Genomic DNA, 13935 nt, shown 5'->3' with positions numbered 1-13935 from the left:
TAGATACCTGGAGAGCTTCCATATACCCCATTGAATAGGTACCACCCTGTTCCCCAGAAGGGCATCTTAGGTAGGATAGTGTCCCTCTTGTCTTATGGGGCCATCAACCCTGAATAGAACCCAGGCACCCTGCCTTCCAGCCCAAGGTAGTCCTGCAGCTGGCATATCCTAGCCTCCCCACGGTACTACACCCTATGTGTACAAGACGTTTCAAAGCTGGAACCATCACCCCACAGTCTGTGGGATGTTCAGAGGCCCCAGCACCCTGGGAGAGGAGGCAGGCAAACTGCCAGGCCAAATACCTTTCCCGAGGCCCTGTGGAGGAGAAAACATTAGTGGGAGGGCAGGCCCCACTCAGATAGGCAGCATTAGAGAGCTGGAGGGGCCGGGCCAGATTCAAGACGATAACAGGAAAGTCTGCACACAGCTACCAGCCCAGACAGGGATTGGCTTGCCTGGAAGCCCAGGGCCCCCAAGAATGGGTGCAGTCACATGGTTTGCCTCTCATGGTCCCAAGCTACCTGCCAGGTGGCAGGAGCCTGTGGTGCTATGTGGGGGCGGTTGGCTAGTCCAGGAGGTGCTGTTCTTGCCCTGAGAGGATGATGGTGCCCTGAAAGGCAAGATGGCACCAGGGAGGCCTGCTACAGGTCCTTGTGCTGTGGCTGGAATGAGCACACTGGAGCCCAGTGCCACTGGGCACAGATTTCTTATCTACAGGTTCCTGAGGTTGCTTTTGGCCAGGACTCCCATGCCTCTCTTTATCCTGGCATTCATCAGCGCAGTGAGAGGGATGGCCTCTGCTCCTGACTCAGACCCAGCTGAGCCTCCTCAAGAGAGAGTCGGGACCACTGTGTGTCATTCCTGTCTGGGCTTTATTTGCTGTGTGTGGTGGGAAAGTCATCTGACCCTGCCATACCTTAGAGTTCCCCAGACCTATCTAAGCTCTTTATCTATGAGAAGCAAAGGTAGACAGAGATATTCTGCCTACCCTGACCATTGAGGAAAAAGGAAACTCATCCCTCAGAGATGGAAAATTAACCATTCAGGGCAAAAAGTCAGGTCAGGTCTGCCAGTTGCCCCTAATATCTGTTATCGCTCTCTTCCTTAGAAACAGAATCCTGGGCTGGGCACGGTGGCTCATGCCTGTAATCCCAGCACTTTGGGAGGCCAAGGCGGGCGGATCACGAGGTCAGGAGATTGAGACCATCCTGGCTAACACAGTGAAACCCCATCTCTACTAAAAATACAAAAAAATTAGCCGGGCATGGTGGCGGGCGTTTGTAGTCCCAGCTACTTGGGAGACTGAGGCAGGAGAATGGCATGAACCCGGGAGGCAGAGCTTACAGTGAGTGGAGATCGCGCCACTGCACTGCAGCCTGGGTGACAGAGTGAGATTCCATCTCAAAAAAAAAAAAAAAAAGAAAGAAAGAAACAGAATCTCAAATTTCAGGATTTACAACCTAAGCAGAATAAAGGCGACATTTATTAGCCTCCACTGTGGCCAGTGGAATTTAGGGGAAGTGTTGTGGTTATGTTCTAGGAAACATCCTTAAAGGGAAGAGGTAGGTCCTTCACTACTTCCTTGTTTCTGCTGGTGGGCTGCTAGCATGAAAGGTGGAGCTCAACCAGCCATACTGATCCATGAGGTAGGGGACAAGTGCTGAGAATAGCAGGCCAGATAGAAGGATATGGGGCCCTGATGACCTTTGGGAGCTTCCCTGGTATCCCCCATGCTATCTTCTTCAGAATTTTTCTATGAGATGAAGAAATAAATTTCCATCTTGTTTAAGACCATGAATTTTGAGTTTCTGTCACTTGTAGCCAAAGCTAAAACTAGTTCTTACAAGTAGACAGTTTGTGGTGCATATAGAAGGAAATAGTCCATTCTAGAGATATGCTAGATTAGGCAAAACTTTGATTTGTGTGGAAGAAAAGATCAAGTAATCTTGGAAGAGTAGATCTCTTGCCTAAGGTTCAAAGATAGTTTCTAGAATCCTAAGGTCTCAAAAAGGGATCTCTTATTAGCCAGGTATGGTTGTGTGCACCCGTAGTTCCAGCTACTGGGGAAGCTGAGGTGGGAGGATCACTTGAGCCCAGGAGTTCAAGGCAGCAGTGAGCGATGATCATGCCACTGCACTCCAGCCTGGGCAACAGAGTGAGACCTCAACTTTTAAAATGAAAAATAAAATAAAAGGTCTCTGTTTGTATTGACTGAAAAATAGAATAAATACCTGTTTGGGGAAGTCACTGCCCACAAGCAACTGCTTGGGTGGCATTAACCCCCATGCCTCACCTAGGATAATAAGGAATGACTGAAAGTTTGGCTAGGCTATGGTAGGGAGGGGAGGCTTACAGTACAGCTGGGTATAAAATGGCCCCTTCAGGTGATGAAGGCATGCATAAGATCCCTTTAAGGAGTGAAAGGAGAGGGTGGGTGGAAATAGTCCAGGTAATGAAGACACACACAGTCCATTGCATTATTGACATTTATTCATTTACCCTAATTTATTAAGCAGCTATTATGTTCAAGGCAAAAGAGGATGAAAAGATGATCAGACATAGACTCTGTTCTTAAGTAGCTTATAAGGTCTAGTAGGGAATGTAAGGTGATGTTTAGCTGTGAACATGAAGTTTGTATAAGGTGTTATGGGTCTGCAGAGGGAGAAGAGCTCCCTACCAGGTGTGTTTTGTGGAGCAGGTGGCCTCTGTGGTCTTGCAGGATGGGAAAGAGTCAGACATGCAGGACTGTTGGGGACAGAAAAGCCTTCTTCAGGTTTGCTCTTTCTCCAAACCCATTGTAAGATGTCCCCATCTTTGCAGTGTGATGACTAACCACCCCCTCCCAAGAATATGGATATTAGAGGTGTTGGCTATAGGCAAGAGTGTATTCTGTAGGAAATCCAGGTGTTTTGAGGGATGTTTTAATCGTCTAAAGCTAAAGGAAGAAGACAAGGTAAGCACTCAGTTTCTGAGTTAGAGACAGACTTAGATTTCAGTTGGTACTGCAACATCTTAGCTCAGTTCCTTGAGTGCCTTGGAGTTGAAGGCTCAAAACCTCAACTGAGAATGCTCAGCCAGCTGTGGTCATGCCCTGGCAGAGGACATAGAAGTCATAGGTAGGTGATGTCAGGGAGACAAGGGGAGAGCTTGGATTGGCATACACCTTCTGGTCATGTCCACTTCCTCTGAGCTCCATGATTCTATTTCCAGAGACTTAGAAGAATGTCACGGTGCAAGAGGTTGCTGTAAGCTTAGTGACATGGAAAACATCACAGAGCAAATGAAAGTGAGTGGCGGTGGAGTAGGTTGGTGATCATCAGAAACTGGTGGTCAAGCTCTCGGGGACACTGGAGTCAAACTATGAGGAGGGCCCTGCCACCCTGGGCTTCGTGGTAAATAGATGTGTTGACTAGTGAAGGCATGGTTTTCCATTATTTCAGTTTTTCTTTTCCTTTGAGGACAACGCAATGTAGACCCGCGATGATTCGCTACCACCATGACTGCAATGCATATTTAAATACCAAGGTCATAACCATGCCAAGAGGAGCAAGAGTTCCTTCTTTGTTTTTAATTTATGGGTAAATTAGAGGCAGAGATATGGGGTGGGGGTAATCAGTAAGGAAAGCAGAAATGCTTTTGCCTCCCTTTGCACGAATAATGAGAGGAAAAAAACACAAGACCACAATTTGTGAGATATTTGTTTCTTTGGAGAAGAGCATGTCTGGGGGTGGGAGGGTGAGGGAACGTTTCACTGTTCTTTGAGACCTTTGCCTGGAAACAGGAAGTTTGTTTGGCCCACTTTACCTGCTCAGACCATTTGCTATCTACCTCCAGGCACAATCTGCTGTTTGTAATATCACAGTCAGTTGCTGTGGAGACAGTGACGTGAGCACATCAGCCTTCTGGCTGTAGGAAAGGAACAGTCTGCTGAGAGGGGGCCCCAGGTACAAATAAATACATTCCAAAGCAACAGGTGAGCTTCAGAGGAGCCAGCTCTCTGGTTTCTACTGAAATGTTTCTAGCATTAAACAAACATTGGAGGAAACACAAACATCTGTCTGGAAGCGAAGCCTGGAGCTCGTGAATTCCAGGGCTGGCTGTGGCCCCTGCCTCTGATTTCCTGTGTGGGCCAGGACAATTGGCTTCTTCTCTCTGTGTCTTAGGTGAGCTGGCTCTCCTTCCTGGCTCCTACCCTTAACCCTGGCCACATGGTGGGATTAGGAGGGCAGATGCAATTGGAAAGTAGGAGGAAGTGTCTCATTCCACGGTGGCACCAGGCAGAAGTGGGCAGGAGAGATGTTTACCCTGCCAGGCCTCATAAAGTCATCTTTCTCAGCAAACCACCATTTATTAACCCCTTCTCTTCTCCAGTCACTCAGCTACACTAATGCACGAGAATGCTCAGACGACATGGTATCTCTTAGGATGATCTATATCTTAAGGGCAAATGCAGCCATTGCTGAAGAATTGGGTAGGTGAAATCATTCATTGAACCTGTGCATTTGGTTTCACCATGTTTTCACGTGTTTCTAGATAGCTAGGTTCAGCTAATGTACAACAGGACATGCCCTGTTAGCTTGCTAATAGCTGGGATTAATGTGGAGATTCAGTGTTTCCTGCAAGCCCAAAGCATTGATAGCCTATTCCAAATTTTCAACCCTCTTCTTGGTATATAGAGCTTGATATACCAACATTAATATCTTGGTTTATATTGAAAGCCAAATTTGCATCTAGCCTATGCTCACCTTTAATCCATTATCAAGCACTAGCATTGCTTTGCACATAATAGATGTTCAATAGCTACTTAATGACTCAATGAATTAATTAATGTTACAATTCAGAAGCTGGTTGCAACACTGTATGTGCGCGTGTGCCTGTCATCATTCTAACACTTGAGAGCTAGGAGGGACCTTAGAATCCTTTGCTTTAGCACCTTATTCAACACAAGGTGAACCTGAGGCTCAGGGAGAAGGGGCTTGCCCCAAGCTACAGTACAGTCAGAACAGGACTCTGAGACCACTCAGTTTGATGCTTTTTCTTCATTCCTTTCTGCACCCCTCTCCACCCCTCATAACCAACCGTTCCCTTTTCCTCATGCTCCAGTGGAGAGTCCAAGCAACGTTCCTGAAATCATGAGGAGCTCTGCCAGGCGCCTCAGCCTGCACAGAGACAGCTCTGCACTGCCTTTCTCTAGGAGCCAGATCCAACGAGGCTCTTCAAAGGGGCTGGAGGCCCACGGTGGCAGCTGGGCCCTTCCTTCACTCAACACTACTCAACCTCGCTGGGACTATTTGGAGTCAGAAGTCCTATGTTTGAGTTTCCACCCAGTGAAGTACCAGCTACAAAACCTTGGCCAAACCACTTCACTTCCCTGGGTCTCAGTTTCCTTGTCTGTAAAAGAACAGTAATAAATCCTGCCTTGTGTGTATTCTAGATGGTTGAGGATCAAGCAAGAAAAGATGCATATGAAAACTTTAAGCTATGAAATGTAATATACCAAGGTATTGACAATATAACAATAATTATTATTTTCAGTAATTTCTTGCCTGGGAGGAGTGATATACCCAGTCAACTGTGTCTCACAGTGTTTCTAAAATATCTTCAGGACAGAGATTTGTACCAGCCACAGACAGTGGTAGCGACCACACCTACGTTTAGAGTGGCTTCCTGCCGCAGGGTACACCTGTCCTTCCACCTCTTTCAGGTCAACGATAAGCCAGTGCTCTCAGCAGTAATCCTTGGCTCCCAATAATTACTGTTTGTGAAGACCCATCTAACACCAGGGAGAGGAGAGGTGTGTTCATTACTGCGGAGGAGGAGGGCAGTAGATGACACTTACTTCGTACCCTCTACTCCTTTGCATAACTTCTTCTGGACTCAGCGTATGTAGGGTTGTAGTTATTTGCAGTGTTGGAGTAAAATGAACCCTAAACACCAAACAGCTCCTGATCTGTACCTCTGAAAAGTGAGACTGATGGCTTCTCCTTTTTCTTCTCTTCCTTTCAGCTCTGTGACAGCATGGGCTCACCTCTAGCGAGCGCCTTCCTACTGACAGTGCTTGGCGGCGATCTGGTGTGCCTGTGGGGGCCTCCCACTTTAAAGGCCTTTCCCAGGTCCTCCAAACTGAACTTTGTGTCCTTGCTATGTGAAACATGGAAATCTTATTTATTTCCAAAAGCAACCTATACTCATTCCTAGAAATAGAAAGGATGGACCCAGGAGAACTGGCTCTGACATAAGTGAGTTGTGTCAACGTGGGGAGGTCACTTAACCTGTGTTTGCAACAATTTCTCTTTAAAATGGGGAGCACCATGCCCTGGCCTACATTACCATCCAGCCTGAGGTTTTAGTGAGATGCTGGGCATGGAAGCACTTTGCAAGGAGTTACACTAAGATAGTGGATGATTTTTATTTGAATACTGCAGCGATCCTCCCTTTCCTTCTGACACCTCTTCATGCCCTCATTCCATTCCATTCTACACTCTACCCACTTAGGTCTAATCTGACTTTACATATACCTGACTTTCTGGAATTCATTTGGTCTTAGTGGGCCACCATTTGCATTCTGCGAGACACCATGTGGCTCCTCAATCTGTTGACATGTGCCCTTCAAGCACACGGAGGCACTCAACATGGGCACCTAGCAGTCCATGTGGGCTGTGCACACACAACATCTGGTTTGGAAGCGGTGAACTGGTGAATTTAATTGTCCTATGCATCAGATTGAGTAACCGAAATCCAGAAGAACTCAAGGGTGAAGGACTTTCCCAAGGTCTATGGAGCACCAGTTTACTGCTCTAGAGCAGAAAGTCATATTTCCCAGAGTTTTTGATGAAAGGAATTCAGGGCAACAACATCTGGTGCTGATTTGAACGTGGTAGGTTGGGTACAAGGAGCTGCAGGGGGATGAGAAATCGTCTATGGCAAGAATCAGCACAGGTAATTTTCAGGCTGACTTGTTTCTCCCTCACTGAGCCACACTGGCTTGACAGCTGCTTCTTTGTACCCTGAAATATTTGAGCAGCCTGCAGTCACGGCCCTTTGCATGTCCCTGCCTGCTTTCGCCACTCGGGAAGAACTCAGGTCTTGCAGAGGCTACCCCTGATTCCCATGATTAGATGTGGACCCTGTAGGAGACAGAGGGGTGGGTCAGAGGCCCTGAGAGAGAAGAAGGAAGGAGGTTGGTATCTTCTTTTCCCTGAAAACAGTCCCCACAATTTCTGAGTGTTATTAAGAAGGTATTGATGTAGAATTCAAGTTCATTCCAGCACACAGTGGGTTTACCAAGTTGGCCAAGGGGGCTTTGTGGTCAATGACTATGACCTCAACTGCCCATCACTGAACTATATGTACAGGTCCTTCTGTCTTGATGAAACAATAGGAAGAAGCTAATTTGGGAAAGAAAGAATAGAGAGGTGTGTGGGTGTGTGAGTGTGTGCGCATGTTCTTTTATTAATTGATAATACATTAATTGTTTAGATTTTTAAAATCAAACACACACACACACACACACACACACACACACACACACACACACACACACACACACACACACGCTCCCGCTCTCTTTTATTAATTGATAAAGGCACCACTGCCCTCTACTGGCAACAATATCATCTTTCCAGTGTTAGAAATGCCTGGATGGAGCCTTCATTGCTTCAGATAAAAAAATTTTGAATACTTATTGCAAATACTTTTTCAAACAATTTGCAAATAAAGTGTATTTCATATTTATTCATTCATTCAACAAGTACTAACTGAAATGAGTAAGATGCGTATGCCCTGGTCTTGAGAAGTTACTATCTATCTAAAGAGTGGACAGGAATGCTAATTTAATGAGTACAATTGATTTCACCATGTCCAGGGTTAATACCCAAGTTGCAAGCCCCCTGAACCACAGAGCACAGCTTCTGACCCACTGCCCTGCACCCTTGATTGGGATGCTCAGAAACACAGCTAGAGACCTCTTTCTCACTGTCAAGGAGCATCTGCACTGGAATAACTTTCATGGAATCATGGGTCCAGAAGGTCAGACAAAATTCACATAAATCAGAGTGTGAGATTCCAAGGCCAGATGGGAAACCCATTCTCACAAGTCTTCAAGACTACTGTAATTCTTCAGGTTAGAGAAGCCTGTTTCTTCCAGCTCTCGCCTCAGGCACACATCCTTCGGATTCTTGGAAACAGTGATGTAGCATTCCCCTTTGCCTAGCCTCCTTCATATTATTTTCAAGTTTGTTCATATTGGGGTTACTCCAGGCAATTTAAACAGGCATGATTCCATTCAAACCTTCTGATGCTGGTTTTCTTTTTATTTATTTATTTTTTTTTTTTGAGACGGAGTCTCGCTCTGTCGCCCAGGCTGGAGTGCAGTGGCATGATCTCGGCTCACTGCAAGCTCTGCCTCCCGGGTTCATGCCATTCTCCTGCCTCAGCCTCCCGAGTAGCTGGGACTACAGGCGCCCGCCACCACGCCTGGCTGATTTTTTGTATTTTTAGTAGAGACGGGGAGTCACCGTGTTAGCCAGGATGGTCCCGATCTCCTGACCACATGATCCGCCCTCCTCGGCCTCCCAAAGCGCTGGGATTACAGACGTGAGCCACCGTGCCCGGCCTGAGTTTTCTTCTTGTGCTATTCTTTAATCAAATTAGGCAAAGTATGAATCCTTTCTCCACCAACATTGTTTTGGACTAGGTAATGCAATTTATATGGTACAAAAATCGAAACAATAAAGAAGTTTAAAGTTAATGTCAATCCTCCATGTCAGCCTTCTCTACCCTTTTCCATCTCCCCTCTGCCAGAGGTAATCGTTGTTAAATTGCCCCATGTATTCTCTTGGTATTTCTTTATGCAAATATGGACACATGCAAATGAACATTATTGTTGTTCTTCCCCTTTAGGCGAAAAGGAAGCATGCTATACACACCATTTTGAGCCTTTCCCCCACCACATAGCAGTATACATTGGATAATTTTCCATATCAATATATTTTTAAAGTTCCTCATTCTTTTTATAGCTGTTAATATTCCATCATGTGATAATATTGTGGTTTATTTAACCAGCCTTCTATGGATAGAAACTAGGTTTGTTTAGAATAAGTACTCTTGAGCTTATATTAGTAAAATATTTTTGCTCTCTCCTTCTCAGTTTTAGCCACCTTCTAATACTGTTTAAAATAGTGTTATGGGGCCAGGTGCAGTGGCTCATGCCTGTAATCCCAGCACTTTGGGAGGTCAAGGAGGGAGACTTGCTTGAGCCCAGGAGTTTGACACCAGCCTGGGTAGTATAGTGGGACCCTGTCTCTACTAAAAAATTAGCTAAGTATGGTCATGCCTGCCTGTAGTGCCAGCTATTCAGGAGGCTGAGGTGGGAGGATCACTTGAGCCCGGGAAGTGGAGGTTGCAATGAGCCAAGATTGTAGCATTGTACTCCAGCTTGGGTGACACAGCAAGACCCTATCTCAAAAAAAAAAAAAAAAAAATATATATATATATATATATAGTGTTACTGAACCATTGGAGGTTTATCTGCCTGATACCTACCACAGCAATTCTTGGGGACTCACTCTTGAGGGTCAGCTGCACACAAAAGAGCTCTGAATGCCCTCAGGATAGCAGAATGCAGGATGGAGGGCAGGGACAGAGCATTGGATCTTAGAACAAGATCTGTTCAGACTCTGGGAACTGACATGACAAGAAGAGCTTTTACTCCAGAACTTCTCGGAGAGGAATGATGAGACTTTCTGGGAGGACGGATCAAAACAATGACCCTGACATTAAACTAGAAATTACCTACGTGTAATTGAAGCTGCACCACTCTTAGAGGGGCACACAAACCTAAGAAGTGAAGGACCAAAGGAAATGAAGATTGAAAGAGACATCAGGCAGTGGGCTAAAAAGAAACATAACAGACCCACATGTCCCTTTCCAAAGCTGTGCCATACCATTCCAGCCCTGTCCTCATCCTCTGTACACAAAGTCAAGAAAGCTGGGTGATTCCCTCAATTCCGAGGACCAAGGCAGTTATACTGGTGGTTTGCGGCCAAAGCAACAAACACCAGTGGTAGACTGACTTTTCTAAAGAAGTTGTGATGACGGGTGGACTCACCTTGCACCTGTGCAGCATTTCTTGCTATAGGCAATCTCCAGCCTACCCAGGCAAGAGCAAAACAAGACGGTCAAAGAAGTGAGGGTCTCCACAGGGACTGTGCCACATCTACGATCACAGAAGACAGCGTTTCCAGTTATCTATTTATGTGTAGCAAAGCACTCCAAAATTTAGTGGCTTAAAATAACAATAATTTATGATTTTCCATGATTCTCTGGGTCAGGAATTCGGGCAGGACTCAGCCAGGCAGTTCTGAGCATAACCTATTATCTGGGGTCATTCACTTGCCTGCATTCCACTAGTGCCTGGGCTGGGTTGAAAACCCAAGAATATTTTATTCATGTGTCTGATGCCTTGGTGCTCCTCCATGTGGCCTCTCCACGTGGCCACCTTGGGTTTCCTCACAGCGTTGTGGGCTTAAGCGAGCTGGACTCCTCACATCCCAGCTGGCTTCCAAAGAGAGAGGAAGCAGAAGCTACCAATCCTCTGAAGACCTGGGCTTGGAAATTCCAAAAAGTTACTTTTGCCAAATTCTATGGGTCCAAGCAAGTCACAGGCTAGCTCAGAATCAGAGGAGGGGAAATAGACTCTGTCTCCTTGTCTCAATTGGAGAAGCATATACAAGTACAGGGAGGTGAAGAATGATTGGGATGCCACCTTTGGAGACTTGCTGCCACACACAGTGCACTGACAATTGCAGGTAGAAGATGCCTGCAGAATTGGGAACATTTTCAGCAAGCCCCATGATCTGTCGGTGTCTCTATAATTGGGTTTTTATTTGCATATTGGTGATTGAAGTGTTCAAAAAGCTTTTTCTCTCCACCAGAAAAACCTCTCGTTTTAATGACCACACAAAGGCAAGGGAAGCCCTGAGCATGCTGCAGGCTGTAGCAAGAGAGGGGAGGGACCCTCGTTAGAAGGAGAAGTGGCTGGTTTTGGAAATATGGGTGGGACCATTGCAGATCTGGGGACACATGTCCTCTCAGAGGTGTGCCAACCTGCCTTTGAGACCAAGCTCAGAAGTTGCAGTTTTTCCTCATCCATGGTGAGCATTCCTATTAGTTCCAACATTCTTCTGTAGTAAACCCAGAGTTGGACTTGGAACCTGAGTAGACAATGCAAATAGATCCAAATTGGCCCATGACATGAAATATATTTACTAATACAGGATATCCACTCTAAAAGACATCAAGGAGGCACAAAAGTCCCATGCCGAGAGAGAAGTCGGTAACTACGCCTGTGACCGGGAGAGGCCGGACTTGCTCTCCTTCGCCTAGGTTTGCACTCAGAGCAAGAGAGAATATAAGAGAGGGGAAGAGAGAAAGGTACCGTCCTGACAGGTACTTTCCTGGCTATCACAGAAAGAACAAGCCTTTCATGGTTTATTGGGAACCAAGCTCAGGTGTCCCTGGAGGCAGAGCTACGTGGACCCAGCAGGCAGAAGAGAAAAGAGCCCTGAACGGGAAGTGTGAGACCTGTGTTCTATTTTGAGCTTTGCCCCAACTGTTAAGAGGACTGACCATTTAACAAGGGGGAGCTGGTGAGATGACTGGACACTTTGAAGTGACACCGGGACCCAAGGGTTCTCAAGTTCATTATTTGTGAAGAAATGGAGCTTGTTTCTGTGATCTTTCTCTGCTCTGAAATACTACAGTCATATAACTAGATGCCCTTGGGAGGTCTTTCCTGGATCAACAGATGGAGGACTTTTCAAAGCAGACGAAGTGAATGTGATCACTCACACCTCTGCTTCGGACACAGTGAAGCCAAGATGGAGAAGAAAGAAAACTTGGCCAAAGCTATACTTGTGCAGTAGCTGAGGAGACGAGTTAGAATTAAAGAGTTCCCTAGGTGGGCAAGATAGCTTAGAGTTGTTTGCTTGTTTGTTTGCTTTGTTTTTTGTTTTTAAAATTTGCCTTTTATAGACAAGAGTCAGAAAGGAGGTCAAGAGACATCTAGCTTCACAGTTCTCTGCCAGGGATCCGGGTGTCCATACTCTGGCTCTCACTACTGGCTCTCCTGACAAAAAGAGCCCGTTTCATTATTGGATGGGCTTTGGGAATGCCCATTCAAATCCACTTCCATCCTTCATCTTCCTCCTCTCGGCCCCCCACCCGCCCGTCTCTTTAGCCTTGCACCTTGTGTTACTGCCTCTGTCACACATTGTCAACGTCCCAGCGATGACGAATTCCACACCCCCCTTCCCTACCCCCCAACCCCACAGTTGCCTGATTAGGGTTCTGGAATAAGATTCAAAATCCTCAAAGAGGTTAATCAGAACCTCCAAATCCCTGAAAAAGTGGAAAACCCAAGCTGATTTGGGCCCTTGAACAAATCCAGATGGAGCGGCATCCTCCTGAATGAAACAGATTGTGCGAGAGGGAGTGAGAAAACTCGAAAGATGAGAAGGAGAGACAAAGAAAGAAAAAGGCGAAAAAAAGATATCAAGAGGGAGCTGTTCAGAACCCAAAGACTTGAAAGACGGAGGCGTCTTACTCCTGCGCAGCTTGGGCCACCGCTGAGAGGCCAGGGGTGAAGGGGCCCTGTGAATGGGGGCCCAGGCGGCCTCTGCTTTCCCTGAGAAAGCACTGAAGGCTCAGTGGTGTGGGAAGACAACACGGCCCAGCTGTGGGGGAGCCTCCGAGGGCTGTGACATTGACGCTGTCGCCAAGGCCTGCTGGGGCAGGGACAGGCATCCCGACACGGTCTCCTCAGCGGGGCCTCGGCAGCCTGGCCCCACAGCAGCCTGGGCCCCCGCCCCAGCCGCGTAGCCCTGCTCCAAATTTCACACCATGTCTAATCCAATCACCGGCAGATTGCAAACTCTCTGCCTACCTCCCAGATCGAGAATTCTTGGCCGGCTGGAGCGATAGGCCCCTTCCCAGCCCAGCCGGCTGTCCTGCTCATCCATGTAAACCATTCTGCAACTCTCCCCCTGCCCCCACCTCCCCTTCTGGGCCCACCGACTTAATCCTGTTTGCCCGGTCTGTCAATTTAAACAGCTTTAAATATGCCTCACCAGGTCCGGGTGGCAGAACCCTGATGCTTAAAAACAGAGGCCTTGCATCAAAGGGGGTTGGGGTAACGGGGACCGTAAAGGTGTCATTCAAAAACACAAAAACTACCCTTTGTTAAAAAACAAAAAGAAGCAATCCCAATGAATCATGCACACGTAAAGAAAAAAACATCACCACCCAACAAAATGCAGTTCCCTGTAATAAGCTCAAAACCAGCTCCAAGGTGGAGCTATGTTGGTGGTGTGGTGGGCACGGCCATAGCTCAGCATATAGGAAGGGCTTTTCCATATGATTAAAGTCAAGTTGACCCATCCATCTGGGGGAACACTCCCGCTCTCCTTCAAAGTCAAAAGGTTTGGGCTGGATGGCTTTGATAATTCTCTAGCTGAGCCCTGGAGAGGGCTGAAGGCAGGGTGTGTTGCATAGAGACAGATTCAGATGCTCTGACACAGAATCCAGCTCTGGGCTGAGGCTCTGGACCCAACGTTTACAGTGAGTGATGGAGAATGAGCCCCAGCCCAGTGCTCCTCAAACTTAATGCACAAATGAATCACTTGGTGATCTTGACAAAAATGCAGAATCTGATTCAGTGGGTCTGCAGTGGGGCCCGAGATTCTGCATTTCTACTGAGCTCCCAGGTTAGGCTCATGCACCTGTCCCATGGGCCGCATTTTGAATGGCAAGAGTTTAGGTAGAACAGAGTGCCTTCAGCCTTGGACTCAGTTGTCTTGGTTTCCGTTTCTATTCCTTCCTCTGATGCCCTTCCAGCCCCCATCTTTTCTATTCCCTTCTCCATGAGGAACAAGACAA

General features: G+C 46.8%; 2 annotated features.

Annotated features, from left to right (window-relative positions):
* Positions 12307-12829: an enhancer, noted in NCBI's record as "H3K4me1 hESC enhancer chr12:4099925-4100447 (GRCh37/hg19 assembly coordinates)". NCBI's record gives its function as "activates a minimal SCP1, AML or CMV promoter by ChIP-STARR-seq in naive H9 embryonic stem cells {active_cell/tissue: H9 hESC(naive)}" and the evidence as "EXISTENCE:reporter gene assay evidence [ECO:0000049][PMID:30033119]".
* Positions 12830-13352: an enhancer, noted in NCBI's record as "H3K4me1 hESC enhancer chr12:4099402-4099924 (GRCh37/hg19 assembly coordinates)". NCBI's record gives its function as "activates a minimal SCP1, AML or CMV promoter by ChIP-STARR-seq in naive H9 embryonic stem cells {active_cell/tissue: H9 hESC(naive)}" and the evidence as "EXISTENCE:reporter gene assay evidence [ECO:0000049][PMID:30033119]".

This window comes from Homo sapiens, chromosome 12 (assembly GCF_000001405.40).
Source record: "Homo sapiens chromosome 12, GRCh38.p14 Primary Assembly".
NCBI lineage: Eukaryota > Metazoa > Chordata > Mammalia > Primates > Hominidae > Homo > Homo sapiens.
Note: the sequence above shows the minus strand (reverse complement) of the source record. Positions and strands in the feature narration are given on the sequence as shown.